The sequence below is a fragment of the Homo sapiens genome, chromosome 2 (genome assembly GCF_000001405.40).
Source record: "Homo sapiens chromosome 2, GRCh38.p14 Primary Assembly".
NCBI classification, from domain to species: Eukaryota; Metazoa; Chordata; class Mammalia; order Primates; family Hominidae; genus Homo; species Homo sapiens.
Window position 1 is genome coordinate 96,303,962 of NC_000002.12, and position 20,396 is coordinate 96,324,357.

Here is a 20,396-nt window from a genome sequence, read left to right on the forward strand (position 1 = left end):
TTTTCACCTCTCCAATGCATTTTCCCTTTCTAGCTAGAGAACCAAGCTCTAACAGAATCTACTGCCGTTGACTATCAACAAAGTATAACAAAACTGGAAAAGAAGATATAGCACAAAGTGGAGATAATGTATTAACTCATTTCAAACATAACTACTTTAATCAAACTAAGCCTAGGAATTTTGGAAACTTCATCATAGGAAAGGGAGCAAGACACCAAGATATTCAGGATCAAAAGATAATGATGAGGTAAAGGTAAGTTTTTGAAACATATCCCCAAGAAATCTTAAAAAAAAAAAATAAAGGAAAAAAATGCAAACTAAGAAAGAAACCTGTCTTTCATACTATGGATGCTTAAATTAGTTTGTTACAACAAAATAGGTAGAACGTGGACAAGAGTAAATGGAAAAAGTAGGGGTAGGAAGTTAGTAATGGGAAAAAAGGAAAACGAATTACTGGGACATAGGAATAGCAAGGGTCTTGAAAATACCCTGAAGAAAATTAAGATCTGTCTATGGACCAGAAACACACATGTAAGAAAAAGGTACCAACAAGTTATTTTCCACTTGAGATGCACTTGTTAAGGCCAAAAAATCTTTAAACTCTCCTGGTCTGTTTTTACCTTCACTGAATTGTTTTAATGCCACTGATCTTACACCAAGCATTCCAGCAAAAATGCTGCTCGAATGTTAAAGGGAAGAGACTTTGGATCTGAAGGAAAAAATAGTATCCCCTTGGCACTCACTTGGCTCTTCTTTCCTCCTGCATCTGCGGTTTGGTCCGTTGAGCCTTGTCTCCCATACGGGTGCCCTCCAGCTTCCCAACAAGGGACAGCACCTCTCCTGTGGGTTCATCCCGGCGGGTCCGGTCAATGAGAGAACGGTCAGCTTGGAGCACAAGATTCGAGTTCTGAAAAGATCAAAACATTATTGAAGCTTTGACATGAGCAGGGCCAATTCCTACTATCATAGTTACCCCAGCTGATGGAAAAAATCGTAGTAACTAGTTGCTTATCATCACTAATCGTAATAAAAATATATTTTCCTTAAGAATTGCATAGTATAACGCTGTGCAGAAGCGTACAGCTGAATAAGTCTTATGCGCTGTCGAATCAGCTAAACAATTCTTGTTCCTAACAGCGCCCATCATAACCCACACCTGTGAAAAGTAGTGAGTGGGTTGGGAGTGACGTGTGGAAGGGGGAGGGCTTAGCGTTGAAGGTACTCGAGAAACTCCTCCTAGAGAGATCTTAGCGCTCCCCAGACCCCAGTAGGTTATTCACGTCATCGTATAACCCCCACCTTCACCCCGATTCCATTTCCCCTTCGTTTTCGTGGCTCTCCTGTAGGCCTTCAGACTGAAACTCCCTTTTTCAGCCTCCCCCTCCCCATTGGACTCCTGAGCCTGGAATCCTTCCCCAAGACCAAACGCACCGCCTTGTACTCGTATTGCAGACTACGGGCGGTTACATCCGCCATGGCCGCGGCTGCTCGGAGGCTTCAGACCACCACGCCTCCCTACCGCAAGCTGCAAACGGCCGCAGATCTCTGCTCCCGCCGCGCCGGAACGACGCAGGAAAGACGCACTGGGGAAGGAAAAGAAACGGGTTCCCTTCCGCTTCCGGGTCGCGCCCCAGAAGTGCGGGGCGGGGCGTGTCTGGGGCGTGTCCCTGCCGTGTGCGCGCGGCTTTCCGCACCCTTCTGAGCGGGATATGTGGGCCTGGTGCGTCTGGGTCCCCGAATCCCTAGACCCCCGCACTCTGGTTCTGGCCGCCCGCTGGCACTAAGGACCCAGGGCCCGTGCTCTCCCCGACCTCAGTCTCCAGCCCCCGGCACCCCTCACATCATAACGAATGCACGGCTGCTTAGCCCCTGTCCTGTCCCAAGACCTTTCCTTCCGGTTCCTTCCTCTTTGGCAACAGTCCCATGAGGTAGGCAGGAAAAGAGGGGCCGAAAACCCCATTTCCGTTTGAGGTAACTAAAGTACCCAGCGAGCAAGGTGACTTGCGCGTGTGTCTGTGTTTGTGTGTTTTAATGATTGGCGCCTTGCTTTGGGTTTCTCTTCTGTGTTCAACAATTGAAAAAGAAAGCTACTATCCCCCACCAATCCCACCTAAACCTGTGCCCCCAAGACCCTCGTTTTCACCCAGCTGAACGAACAGGGCCGGGGCCCCCATTTGCTCCCACTTGTCGGTAACATTCTATGGTAGGGCCCTCCCTGCCGCCCAGGGAAACCGGTGAAGGCAGGGCCAAATCCTTGGTGACTATGACTTAATTTCTTCCCCAGCTACAAAGTCTTCTCTGTCCCACATTCCCCACCACTTCTCGCCAGTAGAATGGCGCCTTATGGCTGAAGGTGACCTCCCTCCTCACTTAGAGCATGTTTGCTTTTGAGAAGATGAATGAACAGGAGGATGGGTGTTAAGCCAAAGGAATTCATCCTCAATAGCAGTCCCCTAGACCAGATTTGTTCTGTAGTGGTATCGTGTTTGGCTCACTGTTGGCTCCTTCTTTAAAAATTGGGATAATTTCATGCAAACTCTGGCTCTCCCCCATCAGTTGAGATACTAGAAAATCAGCCACATGACACCCACACTGCTGCATGGCATGACCTGCTGCTGGTCAGCAGCTGCCAAGGTCAGAGAATAGGCAAGTCCTTCCCACTGCTCCTGTTTTCTCATGCCTGCCCATCTCCTTATTTTTACTTGCCCAGCCCCTGTAGGCATGGAGTTTGCTGCTTTGGTGGGTGTTTGTTTTTTTTTTAATAACTCGTCTTCCCAAGGGACAGTCGAGTCCTCATGGCTCTGCTCCTCAGTGGCTGTGTGACTTTGAAGTAGCTAGCTACCTGGCCTCTCGGTGAGCACCATTTTCCTCATCCTTAAAATTGAGGCAATTGGCTGGACACGCTGGCTCACGCCTGTAATCCCAGCACTCTGGGAGGCCAAGGCAGGCGGATCACTTGAGGTCAGGAGTTTGAGACCAGCCTGGCCCACATGGTGAAACCCTGTCACTACTAAAAATACAAAAATTAGCCAGGCGTGGTAGTGGGTGCCTGTAATCCCAGCTACTCAGGAGGCTGAGGCAGGAGAATCACTTGAACCTGGGAGGTGGAGGTTGCAGTGAGCCGAGATCAAACTCTGCACTCCAGCCTGGATGACAGAGTGAGACTCTTTGTCTTAAAAAAAAAAAAATTGAGGCAATAAAACCTTCCTCCCATTGTGATTAAATGGGATAGTGTGTTTAAAAGCACCTAGCAAAGTGCCTGACTCAAGGTGGGGTTCACTGAAAGTTATTGAAATCTGAATCCTTAAGGCTGACTTTTATTCCATGATCAGGCTGTGGCCCACCCACCTGACACGAAAGGGTCTCAAAGGTATTTCGGAGATTCCACTCTGTTTCTGTAGAAGTAGCATTCATGTTCACAGATGCAGCTGGGCTGTGGGCAAACCTGTGAAGCAAGAAAAAAAGGAAACTTTCCCCATCTTTTCTTTTCCTCTCTAATCAGGCTCTACCAAATGTAAATCCTGCATTTAGTCATTCAGATGGACTTATAAGTTTCCATAGTATGTTAGACCTGGTAGGAGCCTTAGAGATGGAGTAGTCTGGTTCCCTTATTTTCCACAAGAGGAGACTGCAGCCCTGGAACAATCGTCACACTAAAATGTAAATAAGGAAGAAAATAATTATGATTTTGAAAAGAAAACAACAGGCTGGGTGTGGTGGCTCATGCCTATAACCCCAACACTTTAGGAGGCTGAGGAAAGAAGATTGCTTGAGGCCAGGAGTTTGAGACCAGCTTGGGTAACATAGTGAGGCCCTGTTTCTACAAAAAATTAAAAAGTAGCCAGGCCTGGTAGTGTGTGCCTGTAGTCCCAACAACTTGGAAGGCTGAGGCAGGAGGATTGCTTGAGCCCAGGACTTCAAGGCTGCAGTGAGCTAGGATTGTGCCACTGCACTCCAGGCTGACCCACATAGCAAGACTCTTCCCTCAAAAAATAAAAACAATTTTTAAATTAAAGATAGAAAAGAAAAATGACAGCCGTGCTTCCTCACTCTGCGGAAGGGGCTCAGGGAAACTTCCTGGGCCAACTTGTTGAAAATGGGGGAAGGTGTCTAGTGAAGACAAGTCAAAGGAGTCACTGCCCCACATGAGAAAGGAAAGAGGAGCTGGGGTTAGACTGGGATGTAGAAAAGGGAAGAGAAAAGTCTTCAGGAAGCAAGAGAGGCCCAGGAAAATGACAGTCAGCCAGGACCTAAAGGAGCCACAAGCAAAGAGAAATTTATTTTACTTTTTTTTTTTTTTTTTTGAGATGGGGGATCTCACTGTGTTGCTCAGGCTGGAGTGCAGTGGCACGATCATGGCTTACTGCAGCCTCAATCTCTTCAGGCTCAGGTGATCCTTCTACTTCAGCCTCCCAAGTAGCTGGGACTACAGGCACACACCACACCCAGCTAATTTTTTGTATTGTTAGTAGAGATGGGGTTTTGGCATGTTGCCCAGGCTGCTCTCGAACTCCTGGGGTCAAGCGATCCACCCACCTCAGCCTCTCAAAGTGTTGGGATTACAGGCTGAGCCACCTTTCCTGGTCTGGGCAAAGAATTTGAACAGACGTTTCTCCAGAGAAAATATACACTGGCCAATAAGCACATGAAAAAATGCTCAACAGCCATGCGTGGTGGTTCACCCCTGTAACCCTAGCACTTAGGGAGGCCGCGGCGGGTGGATCACGAGGTCAGGAGTTTGAGACCAGCCTGGCCAACATGATGAAACCCTGTCCCTACTAAAAATACAAACATTAGCTGGGCGTGGTGGCGTGAGCCTGTAGTCCTAGCCACTCGGGAGGCTGAGGCAGGAGAATCACTTAAACCCAGGAGGCGGAGGTTGCAGTGAGCTGAGAGCATGCCATTGCACTCCAGCCTGGGCAAAAAGAGTGAACCTCCATCTCAAACTAAATAAATAAATAAAAATAAAAATTAGCTGGGCATGGTGGCACATGCCTGTAATCCCGGCCACTCGGGAGGCTGAAGCAGGAGAATTGCTTGAACCTGGGAGGCAGAGGTTGCGGTGAGCCAAGATCGTGCCATTACACTCCAGCCTGAGTGACAGTGCGAGACTCCTCAAAAAAAAAAGAAAGTTAAACATAGAGTTACCCTATGACCCAGCGATTCTACTCCTAGGAATCTACCCAACAGAACTGAAAACATGTCTACATAAACATTTGTACACAAATGTCCATAGCAGCACTACTCACAATAGCCAAAATATTGCAACAACCCAAATGTTCATCAGCTGATGATGGATAAGCAGAATGTGCTATTTCTATACAATACAATATATTATTCAACCACAAAAAGCAATGAAGTACTGCTGTGTGCCACAACATGAATGAATCTCAAAAACATATTAAGGCCAGGGACAGTGGCTCATGCCTGTAATCCCAACCCTTTGGGAGGCTGAGATGGGCAGATCACTTGAGGTCAGGAGTTCAAGACCAGCCTGGCCAACATGGTGAAATCCTGTCTCTATTTTTTATTTTTTTATTTTTGAGATGGAGTCTTGCTGTTGCCCAGGCTGGAGTGCAGTGGCACAATCTTGCCTCACTGCAACCTCCACCTCCTGGGTTCAAGCGATTCTCCTGCCTCAGTCTCCTCATTAGCTGGGATTGTAGGTGCGCGCCACCACGCCCAGCTAATTTTTGTATTTTTAGTAGAGACGGGGTTTCGCCATGTTGGCCAGGCTGGTCTTGAACTCCTGACCTCAGGTGATCCACCCGCCTCGGCCTTCCAAAGTGCTGGGATCACAGGCGTGAGCCACCAAGCCCAGCCCCCTGTCTCTATTAAAATACAAAAATTAGCCAGGTGTGGTGGTGCACGCCTGTAGTCCCAACTACTTGGGAGGCTGAGGCAGGAGAATTACTTGAACCTGGGAGGTAAAGGTTGCAGTGAGCCGGGATCCTGCCACTGCACTCAAGCCTGGGCGACAGAGTGAGACTCTGTCTCAAAAAATATATATTAAATTAAGGCCTGGTGCAGTTGCTCACATCTGTAATCCCAGCACTTTGGGAGGCTGAGGCTGGAGGATTGCTTGAGGCCAAGAGTTTGAGACCAACCTGGGCAACATAAAGAGATCCCTGTCTCTACAAAAAAAAAACAAAATTAATTAGTTGGGCATAGTAGTGCACACCTGTAGCCCCAGCTACTCAGGAAGCTGAGGTGGAAGGATTGCAAACCCCAGAGCTTGAGGCTGTGGTGAGCTATGATCTCGCCACTGCACTCCAGCCTGGGGCAAAGAGGGAGACCCTGTCTCAAAAAACAAAAACAAGTTTTTAGAAACCATATTAAATGAAAGAAGCCAGTCACAAAAGACCACATATTATGTGATTCCACATATATGAAATGTCCAAGGTAGGCAAGTCTATAGAAACAGAAAGTAGTGCTTGCCTAGGGTAGGAGGTTGAGGAGGAGAGTGAGGGAATAACTACAAATGGGAACAAGTTTTCTTATTGGGGTGATGAAGATGTTCTAAAATTACACGATGGGGATTGGTGGACAACCCTGAATATATGTTAAAAGCCACTGAACAGTTTATTTATTTATTTATTTATTTATTTATTTAGAAACAGGGTCTCACTCTTGCCCAGGCTGGAGTACACTGGCACAAGCCCAACTCACTACATCCTCAAACTCCTAGACTCAAGTGATCCTCCTGCTTCAGCCTCCCAAATAGCTGAGACTACAGGCATACAACACCATGCCTGGCTAATTTTTTTTTTTTTTTTTGTAGAAACAGGGTATTGCTATGTTGCCCTGGCTGGTATCAAACTCCTGGCCTTAAGTGATCCTCCCGCCTTGGCCTCCCAAAGTGCTGAGATTACAGGCATGAGCCACTGTACCCAGCCCAAACAGTACATTTTAAATGAAAGAATTCTTAGGCTGGGCACAGTGGCTCACACCTGTAATCCCAGCACTATGGGAGGCCAAGGCGGGCGGATCACAGGGTCAGGAGATCGAGACTATCCTGGCCAACATGGTGGAACCCTGTCTCTACTGAAAATACAAAAAAATTAGCTGGGTGTGGTGGCACGTGCCTGTAATCCCAGCTACTCAGGAGGCTGAGGCAGGAGAATCGCTTGAACCAGGGAATCAGAGGTTGCAGGGAGCTGAGATCGTGCCACTGCACTCCAGCCTGCTGACAGAGTGAGATTACGTCTCAAAAAAATAAATAAATAAGTGAAAGAATTTTATAGTTTATAGCTTTTATCTCTCTAAAGTTGTTTTTAGACAATTTTTTTTAAACAGGGTCTGCCTGTGTTGCCCAGGCTGGAATGCAGTGACACAGTCTCAGCTCACTGTAGCCTTGACCTCTTCTGGGCTCAAACCATCCTCCCACCTCAGCCTCCTGAGTAGCTGGGACTACAGGCATGCACCACCACACCCAGCTAATTTTTGTATTTTTGGTAGAGATGGGGTTTCGCTGTGTTATGCAGGCTGGTCTTGAACTCCTGGCCTCAAGCAGTCTTCCCGCCTCCGCCTCTCAGAGTGCTGGATTACAGGTGTGAGCCACCATGCCCGGCCTGTTTTTAGACAATTTTTAATAGAGGATTATCCTCAGGAAGCTAAAGGACTGGGGGCACCCTGGCAGTTACAGACCCCAGGGATGGCATTAGTTACCAAGATGGGCTCAGAGCAAGGGGCTTTAGCTTCGTTTTAGTCCATGTGCTGTCTCTCTCCAAAGATGACCTTCTGAATTCACTACTCCCCAGCCCCAGGCCTGCACAGGTTACCCAGACTTCTGCCTGTGTCCTGCATTTCTGTATCTAAAGACCTGTCACTTCATTTAATTACGTCTCAAATATTTGTATGTGCTCTGTGAGCACTTTTAGGGACTCAGAGAAAGACAAGGCATAGAAAAGACCCTTGAGAAGTTAAAGTCTCACAGGAGAAGTAAAACTACAAATATGGTGGTGCACACCTGTGAGGCGGAGGCAGGAGGATTGCTTGAGCCCAGGAGTTCCAGGCTATAGTGCGGTATGATCATGCCTCTGAGTAGCCACTGCGCTCCAGCCTGGGCAACGTTAACAAGAACTACATCTCTGAAAAAGAAAAAAAGAAAAAGAAAAAGAAAAAGCAGAATGCAGTCATCTGCATTCTGTGGGAAATCACTTCTGACTTAGGAGAGCCTGTGAGGCTTTATAGCTGTAATGCAAAGGGTGGCTAAGGATTTCCGTAGAGGCAGGAGGTGGGGGATTTCAAAGGGACAGAGAAAAAGAAGAAGCATGAAGGCGGGAAGACAGAGGTGTATCTTGGGTACTGTTAAGAGCTCCATTAAGCTGACTGCAGGGCAAATGTAAAGAATGAAACAATGTGATGACAGAGAGAGAGAGAATCTGTAATCTCTCTGTTAAAAAAAATGCCATTGTGAAGAGTTTTTCCTTTATTTAGGAGACAACGGGAAGCCATAGCATGTTTCTTGTCTGGGGAGTTTTATTTGTTTTTAACATCTTCATAGCATGTATTTGATTAGACAGAAGAACACTTAGATTAAGCAAAAATTTAGTGTACATGTGACAAGCATTTGTAAAGTTCCACTTTAGCATACATTAACTCATTGAATCCCCATGCAGCCCTGTGAAATATATTGATGTCCCCCATTTTACCAATGAAGAACTCAAGGCCCCAAGAAGGTATTTGACTTGTCTGGCCTCATCTGCTGCAAAGCCAGGCCTTCTGTTTTCACCCCCTATGCACGGGGGTGTCCTCACAGAGCTGAGCTTCAGAAAGGTTATTCTCACAGTGCTGGGTGTGGAGTCCTAATTAAGGAAAAGGAGTCAGGCTGGCGGGACCAAAGGAAAGCAAAAAGAGAAAACAGATAAGCCATGAGTCTGCCACTGCACCCGGCCTATCTGGTGTGTTTCTAAACAGGCTTGTTCCCTTCCAGGTCTTCACTTTAGGAGGCAATGGTCTTTTTTAACCAAGAGGCAGTTTCATGAGGTGGTTAAAAGTATAGACTCTTCTGGTAGACCATCTGGGTTCAAATCCCAGCTTCACCCCTTACTACCTGTGTGATCTTAGGCCTATTTTTAGCTACTCTGGGCCTAACAGGGATAGTTTTACCTACGCCATAGGGTTGTCTGGCACCTAGAACCATGCCAGGAAATAGCAAGTGTAAGGTTTTATCCAACAGCGCTGTTTCCTAAAAACATTTCTAAACACTCTGTGTTTGGAGGCAATTTTATGACTCACAAAGGAAAACTGCCCCATTCTTGGTCATATCTATCCTTTCTTATCCCAAATGATCTTACCCAACCTGATGGCCCTTCCACCCAGTAAACTTGGTTCTGAATGACTGCTGACTGTTTCCCAAACTCCAGGCCTCATGCAGAGATAACAGGTTGCCAGCACTGGGTATATTCAATAACATGACTAGGTTGGGTGGCTGTTCCCAGAATGCTGTCAGCTGGCCTCAAGTGATCCACCTGCCTTGGCTCCCAAAGTGCTGGGATTATAGGTGTGAGCCACCATGCCCAGCCACCACCAACTTTTTAATAAGCCAGTAAGGCTGGGCATAGTGGCTCATTCCTCTAATTTCAGAACTTTGGGAGGCTGAGGCAGGAGGATTGCTTGAGCCCAGAAATTTGAGACCAGCCTGGGCAACATAGTGAGACCCTGCCTCTAAAAAACAGTTTTAAAAAAATAAGCCAACAGACGTGGATACAGTGCCCTCCATGCACTGGTGACTGTGCCTATTGTGAAGAGGGTCACCAAGCATAAGCTCTTCTTGGAGGCAGACAGAGGCAACTGAGGGCAGGTTTAGTGAAAGCCTCAAGTGCGAATTCCTGCCAGAGCCCAACACAGGATGGGCAATCTTTGAGCTGATGGTGTTATCCTCAGTTCTCCATGCATTGTGCCTGGCACCCCACAGTTGCCTCTCATAATAGACATCTGCACTCTTCAGACAGATGACAAGTTGCCCGCCCTTCCAACAGCAGCACAGTCTAGTGGCATTGCTTCTGGCCTTAGCCAGTGCTGCAGCATTGGGGCAATAAATATTTTGTTGCATTTCACCCTGATTATTAAATGGGTGGGATTCTTTTTGAGATGGGATCTGGCTCTGTTGTCCAGGCTGGAGTGCAGCAGTGCAATCATAGCTCACTGTAACTTCAAACTCCTGGGCTCCAGTGATCTTCCCACCTCAGCCTCCACAGCCTGTAGCTGAGACTACAGGCACATGTCACCATGCCAGGTTAATTTGTTGGTTTGTTTTTGTTTGTTTGTTTGTAGAGATAGGGTCTTGCTTTGCTGTCCAGGCTAGTCTTGAACTGCTGGCTTCAAGCGATCCTCCCACCTTGGCCTCCCAAAGCACTGGGATTACAGGCCTGAGCCACCATGCCTGGCCTGAATGGGTACTTTTAAAAACGAAAACTGATGATATTAGTGAAAAAGCAAAGGTTTTATAATTTACTACGGTTGGAAGTCAATAAGCAGGCCAAAAGTAACAAACCTTTGCCACACTAGTTGGGGCTCATTGGACTTAAGCCAATCCCTAATGTATTCGGTTGGAGAGTAAAATGAGAGTATGAACAAATGATTTGGAAATGTCATTGAAGAAAATATCTAAAAGGCAAGATGTAATTAGATATTTTATATATATTTTGTCTCAGGACAAAAGAAACTTAAGGGATCCCTTCTCCTTTATAGTGTTTAAGTTCTTTTTTTTTTTTTTTTTTTGACAGAGTCTGGCTGTGGTACCCAGGCTGGAGTGTAGTGGCACAATCTTGGCTCACTGCAATCTCTGCCTCCTGGGTTCAAGTGATTCTCCTGCCTCAGCCTCCCAAGTAGCTGGGATTACAGGCATGGGCCACCATGACCATGCCCAGCTGATTTTTGTATTTTTAGTAGAGACGAGGTTTCACCATGTTGGCCAGGCTGGTCTCAAACTCCTGACTTTCAAGCGATCTGCCCACCTTGGCCTCCCAAAGTGCTGGGATTACAGGTGTGAGCCACCATGCCCGGCTGTGTTTAAGTTCTTATTCAACTAATACATGTCACTTTTTGTACATGTTCAGGAGTGTGATGTAGTCAGAACTGCCTTAATTTCTTTGACCAACTCGAATGATTATATAATTATTGGCATTGGTTGAGTTTATTATGTGCCAGGCATTTAACCTATTTTATTCTTCAGCACCGTCTGAGGTCAGTGTTGGGAAAGGCAATCTGCATGGTCCAGAGCATGCCTGCATGTTCTTGCTGGGTGTGCCAGGAATGCAAGGCCCTGGCCACACTTTCCTAGGCCCTTTCCCAGAGCTGTATGTGTAGTGGGCAACCTTGAGGGATAAGGTAATGTCTTCCATCAGGACAAAGAGAAGAATGGCCATGAAATAGGTAGTTTCCCTGAAATCAGAATTCCTTGTCTGCAATGCAAACCGTACCATGCATAGCATCCACCTGGGCCTCTCCATGTTGCCCCTGTGGGACTTGAGAGAGCAAGGAGAATTGACACAAACAGGATGCTAGTGCTGATTGTTGTGCCATGAGTCATAAATTATTCTGTCTCTGACCCAGGAGTCTTGTGTCTTCTGCCAGCATCCATGAAACAGCAACAGTAACTATCTTTTAAGTAGGGTAAAATTCCAGACTTTTGACAGTTTGGATGGAAAGGATTTAATGTTGTCATAACTATGGGGCAGCAAGCCTTGCAGCCACAGCCAAAAGGCAACATGATTGTGGGTGCTGAGTCACTGGGTCCCTAAAACTGAGACAAATGGCATCAGCAATGAGGATATAGAGCTTCCAGTGGACCGAAAGCACTGGAGCGTGCAAAATCTTGTTTATTGGAACAGAGCTGCTCTCTCCCTTTGTGCGACTGATTCTTTGGACCCCTCCCCAACCTCAGCTATGTTAAGGAAAAAGCTGAGTATGTTGGGGAACTTCACGGAAGGGGCTTTGTTACAGGAACCCAAGTCACCATCCTCCCCGGTCCTGTGGCAGGAAGCGGTGCTAGGCGCAGCTGGAGTGGTTTTAGAGCAGCCTGAAATAAAAGACACTCAGTCCCTCAGGGCCAGAATCAGAGGAGGCTGTGGCCAGAAAAATCCCAGCTACTGGATGAGCCTGAGGACAAAGCCTAGGCAGGCAAACACAGCCAGAAACTAAAGGGCATCACAAACAGGAAATCTGACGCTGGCAACATAAAGGGGTCACCACCTCAGTAGAAGCAGGGACCAGAGCCCTTCAAGAGTGAATAGATGGACACACAGACCCTCCACCCCCTCCTCATCCACATGGAGGGAACTCCACTCCCTCTACAACTCAGGGCCCCAAATTCTACATGGTTTCTGTGGAAGCAAGTCCTCATGGATCTAGTTTTAGTCCCTGGAGAGCTGGTCTCTTGGCCCCTGGATAAGGTGAAAACCTGGTAGGCACTAGAAAAGACTGCCCTTCCCTTGTTCCCCGCTATTTGTCCTTCCCATTCCCACTTAGTTCCTTTGTCTTTTCTCCATTCTACATGCTCTGTCTCAACGTGGGACTAAAATATATATTGTTATTAGTTACAGGGTTATTGATTAAGTTTTGGTTTCTAAACTTGCTCTTAAAATGCAGTTGCATTGAACATTTGATTTGCCTTTCTTTATTATTATTATTAAGACAAAGTCTCACTCTAACCCCAGCTGGAGTGCAGTGATGCGATCATAGCTCATTGCAACCTCCAACTTCAACTCCCGGGCTCAGGTGAGCCTCCTGCCTCAGCCTCCCAAGTGGCTAGGACCACAGGCACTCGCCACCATGTCCAGTTAATTTTTTAATTTTTATTTTTGTAGAGATGTCAGGGAGGGGGGTCTGGCTATGTTGCCCAGGCTGGTCTCGAACTCCTGGGCTCAAACTATCCTCTGGCCTCAGCTTCCCAAAGTGATGGGATTGCAGGTGCAAGCCACCCTTCTGACTTGTCTTCCTTCAGAAAACACTGAATTGCTTGGTACTATCTGGGTCTCCAGTACTTTATCTATAAATAGGGATAATGTTGAAAAGATCAAATTAGTTAATACACATAAAACACCTACAATGGTGACTGCTGTTGTTGCCCTTCATTGAGGTGTGATCTGTGATGTAGTCTCCCCATCCTAGAACATCCCCAGCCCATGTCATAAACAGATGGGCAACATCCCATGGGAAAGCCAAGGAGATAGGCAGCAATACCAATGCAGCAAAGAGATAGGGAAAGAAAGCAAACAGCAGGGTGCCTACCACCCAAGGACCTCATGAAACTCCTGGGGGCCCTCCCCAGTTGCTTCTCTCTCTCATCTCCCTCTACCAGGGGCAACCACTTTCTTAACTTTTATGTTAGTCATTCTCATGCTTTATGATTTTGCTATGTATGTATGAAATCTGAACAACAGACCAGCCTAGCCAACATGGTGAAACTCCAGCTCTACCAAAAAAACACAAAAATTAGCTGGGCATGGTGGCACGCGCCTGTAATCCCAGCTACTTGGGAGGCTGAGGCACAAGAATCGCTTGAACCCAGAGTCAGAGGTTGCAGTGAGCCGAGATGGCACCACTACACTCCACCCTGGGTGACAGAGTAAGACTCTGTCTCAAAAAAAGAAAAAAAGAAATCTGAACAATATATTGCTCAGTTTTGAAAAAGTTAGTAGCAAGCACAAACTCAGCATTTTTTGTGCTTGCTATGTGGGGCTATATGGCCCCATTAGATGGAGGCCCAGGAGAGGAGATGACACAGAGTTCTGCCCTGGAAGCTGGCCTCAGCATCCCTGAGAGCCTATGGGGGTCACTCCAGCTGTGAGAAGGCAAAGCCACAAAGCAGTTCCCGGAAGCACAAAGGTCAAGGCAGTCTGGCATTGGCAGCATTGCGGTATAGACCAGGACAGTTTTTTGAGAAGAGCACAAGGAAGATACTTGCTTCTGTTTGAGACCGAGTTTGGCTCTTGTCACCCAGACTGGAGTGCAGTGGTGTGATCTTGGCTCACTGAAACCTCCGCCTTCCAGGTTCAAATGATTCTCCTGCCTCAGCCTCCTGAGTAGCTGAAATTACAGGCACCCACCACCACACCCGACTAATTTTCATATTTTTAGTAGAGACAGGGTTTCGCCATGTTGGCCAGGCTGATCTTGAACTCCTGACCTCAGGTGATCCGCCCACCTCGGCCTCCCAAAGTGCTGGGGATTACAGGCATGAGCCACCGTGCCTGGCTAGATATTTGTTTTTAAACCTGGCATGGCCCAAATTGTCTTTATTCTACTCTCACACGTGTTTGATACTTTGGCTGAGTATAAAATTCTGGACTGGATACCATTTTCCTTCAAAATTGTAAAGGCATTTCTCTTTCATCTTTTTTTTTTTTTTTTTTTTTTTTTTTTGAGATGTTGTTTTGCTCTTGTTGCCCAGGCTGGAGTGCATGGTATGATCTCGGCTCATTGCAACCTCTGCCTCCCGGGTTCAAGCAAGTATCCTGCCTCAGCCTCCCAAGTAGCTGGGATTACAAGCATGCATCCCCACACCTAGCTAATTTTGAACTTTTGGTAGAGACAGGATTTCACCATGTTGGCCAGCCTGGTCTCAAACTCCTGGCCTCAGGTGATCCACGAGCCTTGGCCTCCCAAAGTGCTGGGATTACAACCATTTTGCTTTCATCTTATTCTAGTGCTGTATTTAAAAATCTGGGTTGGCAGGGCACTGTGGCTCACACCTGTAATCCCACCACTTTGGGAGGCCAAGGCCGGCGAATCACTTGAGCTCAGGAGTTCAAGACCAGCCTGGCCAAGATGGTGAAACCCTATCTCTACTAAAAATACAAAAATTAGCCCGGCGTGGTGGTGCGCGCCTGTAATCCCAGCAGGTTGTAGTGAGCCAAGATCATGCCACTGCACTCCAGCCTAGGCTGGACCTGTTTGAGACCCTGTCTCAAACAAACAAAAAAAAAAAGAGAGAGAGAGAGAAAGAAATCTGACACCATTTGTCCTGATCCTGTGTATGTGATCTGTGTTTTTTTTGTCTCCAGAAACTTGTGGAATCCTGTTTGACCTGAGTGCTCTAACATTTCATAATGAAGGGACTAAGTATGAGTTTACTCTCATCCATGGGCTGGGCACTTAGTTTCAATCTGGAAATGTCTTCCCTTTATAGGATGCTTGCTTTATTATTTCTTTGACAAGATTTCTTCCTCTCCATTTCCCATGTTCCTTCTGGGGCCACTAATCATCGAATGTTAGACCTACTGGGTTGGTCCTTGGCAATTTTCTTGACTCCAGCTCTTTACATTTTTACTCTAATTTTGGGAGACTTCCTCAATTTTAACTTTCAGTTTCTGTATGGAGTTTTTCATATTTATTATCAAGTTTTTAATTTCCAAGAACTCTTTCCAGACTCTCATTGTATCGGGTCCAAATACATCTTTCACAGTTATAAAACATTCAAATAAATATTTGTTGGGACGGAGCATGGTGGCCCACACCTGTAATCCTAGCACTTTGAGAGACTGAGGCAGGAGGATTGCTTGAGCCTAGGAGTTTGAGACCAGCCTGGGCAATATGGCAAAACCCTGTCACTATCAAAAATACAAAAATTAGCTGCATGGTGGTAAGCATCTTTAATCACAGCTACCTGGGAGGCTGAGGTGGGAGGATGGCTTGAGCCCAGGAAGTGGCAGTTACAGTGAGCTGAGGTCACACCACTGTACTCCAGCATAGGTGACAGACTCAGACCCTTTTTCAAATAAATAAATAAATAAATATTTGTTGAATGGAATGAACAAGTGATTGGGACAGATGGTAGACAGAATCTACTCATATCTTTCAAATCCCTATTTAATCAAGAGCACCTATGTTTTATCCTCCCAACAGTACAAGTGCTACATTGAGAGGAGAAAAACTATAAAGAAATATACAATAAGCAAATAATACACATTGATATGCTATTCAGATTTTTTTTCCATTTTGTGGAGAACGGGGTCTTGCTATGTTGCCCAGGCAGGTCTCAAACTCCTGAGTTCAAGCTATTTTCCTACCTCTGCCTCCTTAAGTGTTGGGATTACAGTGTGAGCCACCGTGCCCAGTGCTATTCTTTTTTTTTTCTTTCTTTTTCTTTTTTTTTTTTTTCTGAGACAAAGTCTTGCTCTTTTGCCCAGACTGGAGTGCAGTGGCACAGTCTCAGCTCACTGCAACCTCCGCCTCCTGGGTTCAAGTGATTCTTCTGCCTCAGCCTCCCCAGTAGCTGGGATTACAGGCACCCACCACTACACCCAGCTAATTTTTGTATTTTTAGTAGAGATGGAGTTTCACCATGTTGGCCAGGCTGGTCTTGAACTCCTGAGCTCAGGCAATCTGCCCGCCTCGGCCTCCCATAGTGCTGGGATTACAGGCATGAGCCACCGCACCCGGTCCAGATTTATTAAGCAATAGTGGTGCATTTCATGCACAGGTATCAGCTAGTCTAGTAATAATTCTCCTCCACAAATCATTGGGAAAAAGGCGGCAATTTTGTACTTTTCCTTTATGTTCAGAAGCATCAGCAATATACAACTCAATGTCTACACAGGTCTTTGTTACACAGCATGAGTCACAAAATGTTTGCCACCAGAGCAGGATAAGTTTTTGAGCTTGTAATAGCAAGAAACTGGTTTGAAGAAAATCTTGCAGTTATAAAATAAAGTGATTTTTTTTGAAATGTGTTGTTGAGAGAAGTGATTTGTCATGTAGTTATTTATTGTATCAGTTATTTTGCCTGGTTACCCTGATATCCCACCTCTAACCTCAAAACTAAACATTTTATTTGAGATCTGTTTATTTGCTTCTCTGATTCTTGGCCATATATCTAATTTCTACATCCTCTTGGTCAGGATTTCGTGTGCATCTTAAGCTTGCTTCCGGTAAGTTATCCCCAACTGCCAAACATCTTATACAAAAAGAAGGTACAGTCTCTATCCCACCGCAAACTCTCTCCTATTTCTCATAGCTGGATCATCCTGTCACTCACTCATTTCATAACACTTAGCACTTGCACACCAGGAATTAAGCTAGGTCTAATTTTGGTCTTTGCCCTTAAGGATCCCAGTGTGATGCTGTAAGGACCCAGTGAACACTGTTGAGCCCAGGAGCGAGGTGACTAATCCGTGAGCCAGGTGCTCTAAATATACAGTAAAGGGCCATTTAATTTTTGCACCAACCTTAAAAGAGAAGGACTTTTGTCGTCATGTTTGCCAGATTAGGAAGCTGAGGCTCAGGGAGGTTCGGAACCTTGCCGGACCGAGTTGGCAGGAGGCGAGACGAGGCTCTAAGCCCTGCTCCCAGAGCTCTTTCTCCCCCATCAAGCTGCGTCCACGCGGTTAGGAAGCATCGCTTGGGCCCTGGGGGATGGGCAGCGGCAAAGGAGAGCTTTTTCCTGTCCGCTCGGGGAAGAGCGCCCAGGGGAAAGGGGTTGTGGGTCCCGGCACGCGGCACTACGCTCCCCGTCCCCCGCCTCGTCTTTCTTCGGCTCGGCCCGTGGGGCTTCCGCCGCCCTGGGCTTGCAGCTGGGACTCATTTCCAGATCGGTCGAAGGCAGGTCTTCCTTCTAGGGACCGGTAGCTCAGAGGAAGGACCGGCGGCAACCGCTGCCCTGTCCGAAAGTGCGTCTCCTTTTTCATTCCGAAATGAAATTCGTAGTTGGTTAAAACGGGGCTTGCCAGCACGATTTACAAACAAGACGAGCGCTCGCTGCAATCACATGAGGAGAAAAGGAAAGGACTAATTCATAATGCGGTCACTAGAGCCTCGATGTGCCCAGGGGAGCGCCCGCCGAGCGCCAGCGGGAACAGCGCATCGCGGACGCTGCAGGGAGTGTGGCCCCTCCGCAGGCGCGTGCACAGGCTCGCATTCTGGAGGGCAGCGCATCTCAGCCGTGCGCCCGGTCCTTGCCACCCCAAACTCCGGCAGCGAACAACGCGTCCTGGGGGCGGCCCCGCGGCTGCTCTTGGAGGCGGCGGAAAAGGCGCGTCCGCGGCTTGGGGGACGGAGGCGGGGTCGGGGGCGAAGGGAGGCGGCTCCTGGGGCCCAGAAAGCTGGCGAGGATGAGGAACCTCCCCCCACCTCCACTCCCAGCTCTCCGAACCGTGAAGACACTGCCCCGGCGCAAAGCGTCTCTAGCGGTCCTAGGCGCACCTGTTTCTGTAGAAAACGTGTTTTGTGCTCACGAGGCACACGAGGGAGGGCTTTGGGCACACAGCCCATTCATACGCTGGACACTGCATGTTTATTTTTGTGAAAAGAATACCTCCTTATTGCTAGACACCTGCAATCAATCCCTCCACCCTCAGAAGATCACTGTAAACATTTAGGGATCCACCCTTTGAAACTTTTCCGAGGCATGTGATGCACAGACACACACACATAATGGGAGTAAGCCATAGCATGTTCTTTTTTTTTTTTTTTTCTTTTTTTGAGAAGGAGTTTTATTCTGTTGCCCAGGCTGGAGTGCAGTGGTGCGATCTCAGCTCACTGCAACCTCCACCTCCCGGATTCAAGCGATTCTCCTGCCTCAGCCTCCTGAGTAGCTGGGATCACCGGCATGCACCACCACGCCCAGCTAATTTTTTTTTTTTTTTTTTGTATTTTTAGTAGAGACGGGGTTTCACCGTGCTGGCCAGGCTGGTAGCTGGGATCACAGGCATGCACCGCCACACCCAGCTAATTTTTTTTTTTTTTTTTTTGTATTTTTAGTAGAGACGGGGTTTCACCATGCTGGCCAGGCTGGTCTCGAACTCCTGACCTCAGGTGATCTGCCTGCCTCGGCCTCCCAGAGTGCTGGGATTACAGGCGTGAGCCATCGCGCCTGTCCAGCAACCACTTTTAAAACAAATCCTTAACCATGAACACACATTTTTAAGCATATGGTTTTACAGATGCTGGTGAAAATGGGGAGAAAAGGGAACTCTGATATGCTGTTGGGTAAACTAGCACAGCTGCTATGGAGAATAACATGGAGGTTCCTCAGAAAACTACAAGTAGAACTACTCACATGATCTAGCAATCCCATTACTTAAAATCTATCCAAAGGAAAGGAAATCATTATATCAAAGAGAAATCTGCACCCTCATGTTTATAGCTGCACTATTCAGAATAGCCAATATGGAATTGACCTATGTGTCCAACAATAGATGAATGAATAAGGAAAACGTGGTATATGTACACAATGGAATGCTATTTGGCCATAAAAAAAAATGAAATCCTGTCATTTGCAGCAACTTGGATGGAATTGGAGGATATTAAGTGAAATAAGCCAGGCACAGAAAGATAAACACCACATGTTCTCAGTCACATGTGGAACCTAGAAAAAGTTGATGTAATAGAAGTAAAAGGTAGAACAGAGGATGCTAGAGGCTGGGAAGGGGAGGGGAAGGTGGTGATAGGGAGGGATTTGTTAAAGGATTCAAGATTATAGCCAGATGGGAGGACTAAGTACTAGGGTTTCACACCACTGTAGGTTGACTACAGTTAACAATAATAGACCAGGCATGGTGGCTCATGCCTGTAATCCCAGCACTTTGGGAGGCCAAGGTGGGCAGATTGCTTGAGCTCAGGAGCTCGAGAACATGGTGAAACCCCCACTCTACTAAAATACAAAAAAATTGCCGGGCTTGGTGGTGTGTGCCTGTAATCCCAGCTATTTGGGAGGCTGAGGCAGGAAAACTGCTTGACCCAGGAGGTGGAGGTTGCAGTGAGCTGAGATGGTGCCACTGCACTCCAGCCTGGGTGACAGAGCAAGACTCCGTCACACACACACACAAAATAATAATAGTAATAATATATAGTTTCAAATAGCTAGAGGGAGGATTGAACCTTCCCAACACAAAGAAATGATAAATGTTTGAGATGATGGATATGCTAATTACCCTAATCTGAAATTATACATTGTATGTATGAAACATGACTGTGCACCCTATGAATATGTACAATTATTATTTGTTAATTAAAATAATACAACTTTAAAACACATGGTCTTAAACATTATCGTTTTTGCACACTCTGAAGCATATATTTTGCATCCTGACATCATGTCATAAGTGAAAAGATAAGAGACTTTCATTATTACTGCTCCAAATGCATGAATGCTCAATAACCTGTGATCTATTTTTCATAATTCACATTTATAAAAAGTAACTTTGGAACTTCAGTCATTGTCAGCTAGCAGACAGTTTTTCCTGCTCCACAATTAAATAAGTCAGTATTCTTGGAAGTATTGTACAAGTTGTTTGGGAGCTCCCTACACATTGCCACTGGATAAGAAGACCTGAAACCCAGCCATGTGTGATGGCTTACACATATAATCCCAGCATTTTGGGAGGCCGAGGCGGGCAGATCACCTGAGGTCAGGAGTTCGAGACCAGCATGGCCAACATGGTGAAACCCCG

The 20,396-nt window shown here is 46.7% G+C and overlaps 1 protein-coding gene across 1 annotated transcript in view, besides 7 other annotated features; it reads right to left on the reverse strand.

Moving 5' to 3' along the window:
* The window catches only part of SNRNP200 (small nuclear ribonucleoprotein U5 subunit 200), a 31,209-nt gene extending 29,624 nt beyond the window's left edge, over window positions 1-1,585 (reverse strand). The window contains exons 1-2 of the mRNA NM_014014.5: window positions 1,432-1,585; window positions 744-907 (exon numbers count right to left, since the gene is read on the reverse strand). Coding sequence (NP_054733.2) covers window positions 744-907; window positions 1,432-1,476 — 209 coding nt within the window. The 5' untranslated portion in view covers window positions 1,477-1,585. The remainder of the gene's footprint in view (window positions 1-743; window positions 908-1,431) is intronic.
* Window positions 1,450-1,744: an enhancer, noted in NCBI's record as "tiled region #61; HepG2 Activating DNase unmatched - State 1:Tss, and K562 Activating DNase unmatched - State 1:Tss". NCBI's record gives its function as "activates a minimal TATA promoter and a strong SV40 promoter by Sharpr-MPRA in HepG2 and K562 cells {active_cell/tissue: HepG2 | K562}" and the evidence as "EXISTENCE:reporter gene assay evidence [ECO:0000049][PMID:27701403]".
* Window positions 1,994-2,073: an enhancer, noted in NCBI's record as "active region_16214". NCBI's record gives its function as "activates an Ori minimal core promoter by ATAC-STARR-seq in GM12878 lymphoblastoid cells {active_cell/tissue: GM12878}" and the evidence as "EXISTENCE:reporter gene assay evidence [ECO:0000049][PMID:35858748]".
* Window positions 2,666-3,294: an enhancer, noted in NCBI's record as "H3K27ac hESC enhancer chr2:96972365-96972993 (GRCh37/hg19 assembly coordinates)". NCBI's record gives its function as "activates a minimal SCP1, AML or CMV promoter by ChIP-STARR-seq in naive H9 embryonic stem cells {active_cell/tissue: H9 hESC(naive)}" and the evidence as "EXISTENCE:reporter gene assay evidence [ECO:0000049][PMID:30033119]".
* Window positions 12,067-12,116: an enhancer, noted in NCBI's record as "active region_16215". NCBI's record gives its function as "activates an Ori minimal core promoter by ATAC-STARR-seq in GM12878 lymphoblastoid cells {active_cell/tissue: GM12878}" and the evidence as "EXISTENCE:reporter gene assay evidence [ECO:0000049][PMID:35858748]".
* Window positions 15,641-15,710: a silencer, noted in NCBI's record as "silent region_11762". NCBI's record gives its function as "represses an Ori minimal core promoter by ATAC-STARR-seq in GM12878 lymphoblastoid cells {active_cell/tissue: GM12878}" and the evidence as "EXISTENCE:reporter gene assay evidence [ECO:0000049][PMID:35858748]".
* Window positions 16,864-16,973: an enhancer, noted in NCBI's record as "active region_16216". NCBI's record gives its function as "activates an Ori minimal core promoter by ATAC-STARR-seq in GM12878 lymphoblastoid cells {active_cell/tissue: GM12878}" and the evidence as "EXISTENCE:reporter gene assay evidence [ECO:0000049][PMID:35858748]".
* Window positions 17,924-18,183: a silencer, noted in NCBI's record as "silent region_11763". NCBI's record gives its function as "represses an Ori minimal core promoter by ATAC-STARR-seq in GM12878 lymphoblastoid cells {active_cell/tissue: GM12878}" and the evidence as "EXISTENCE:reporter gene assay evidence [ECO:0000049][PMID:35858748]".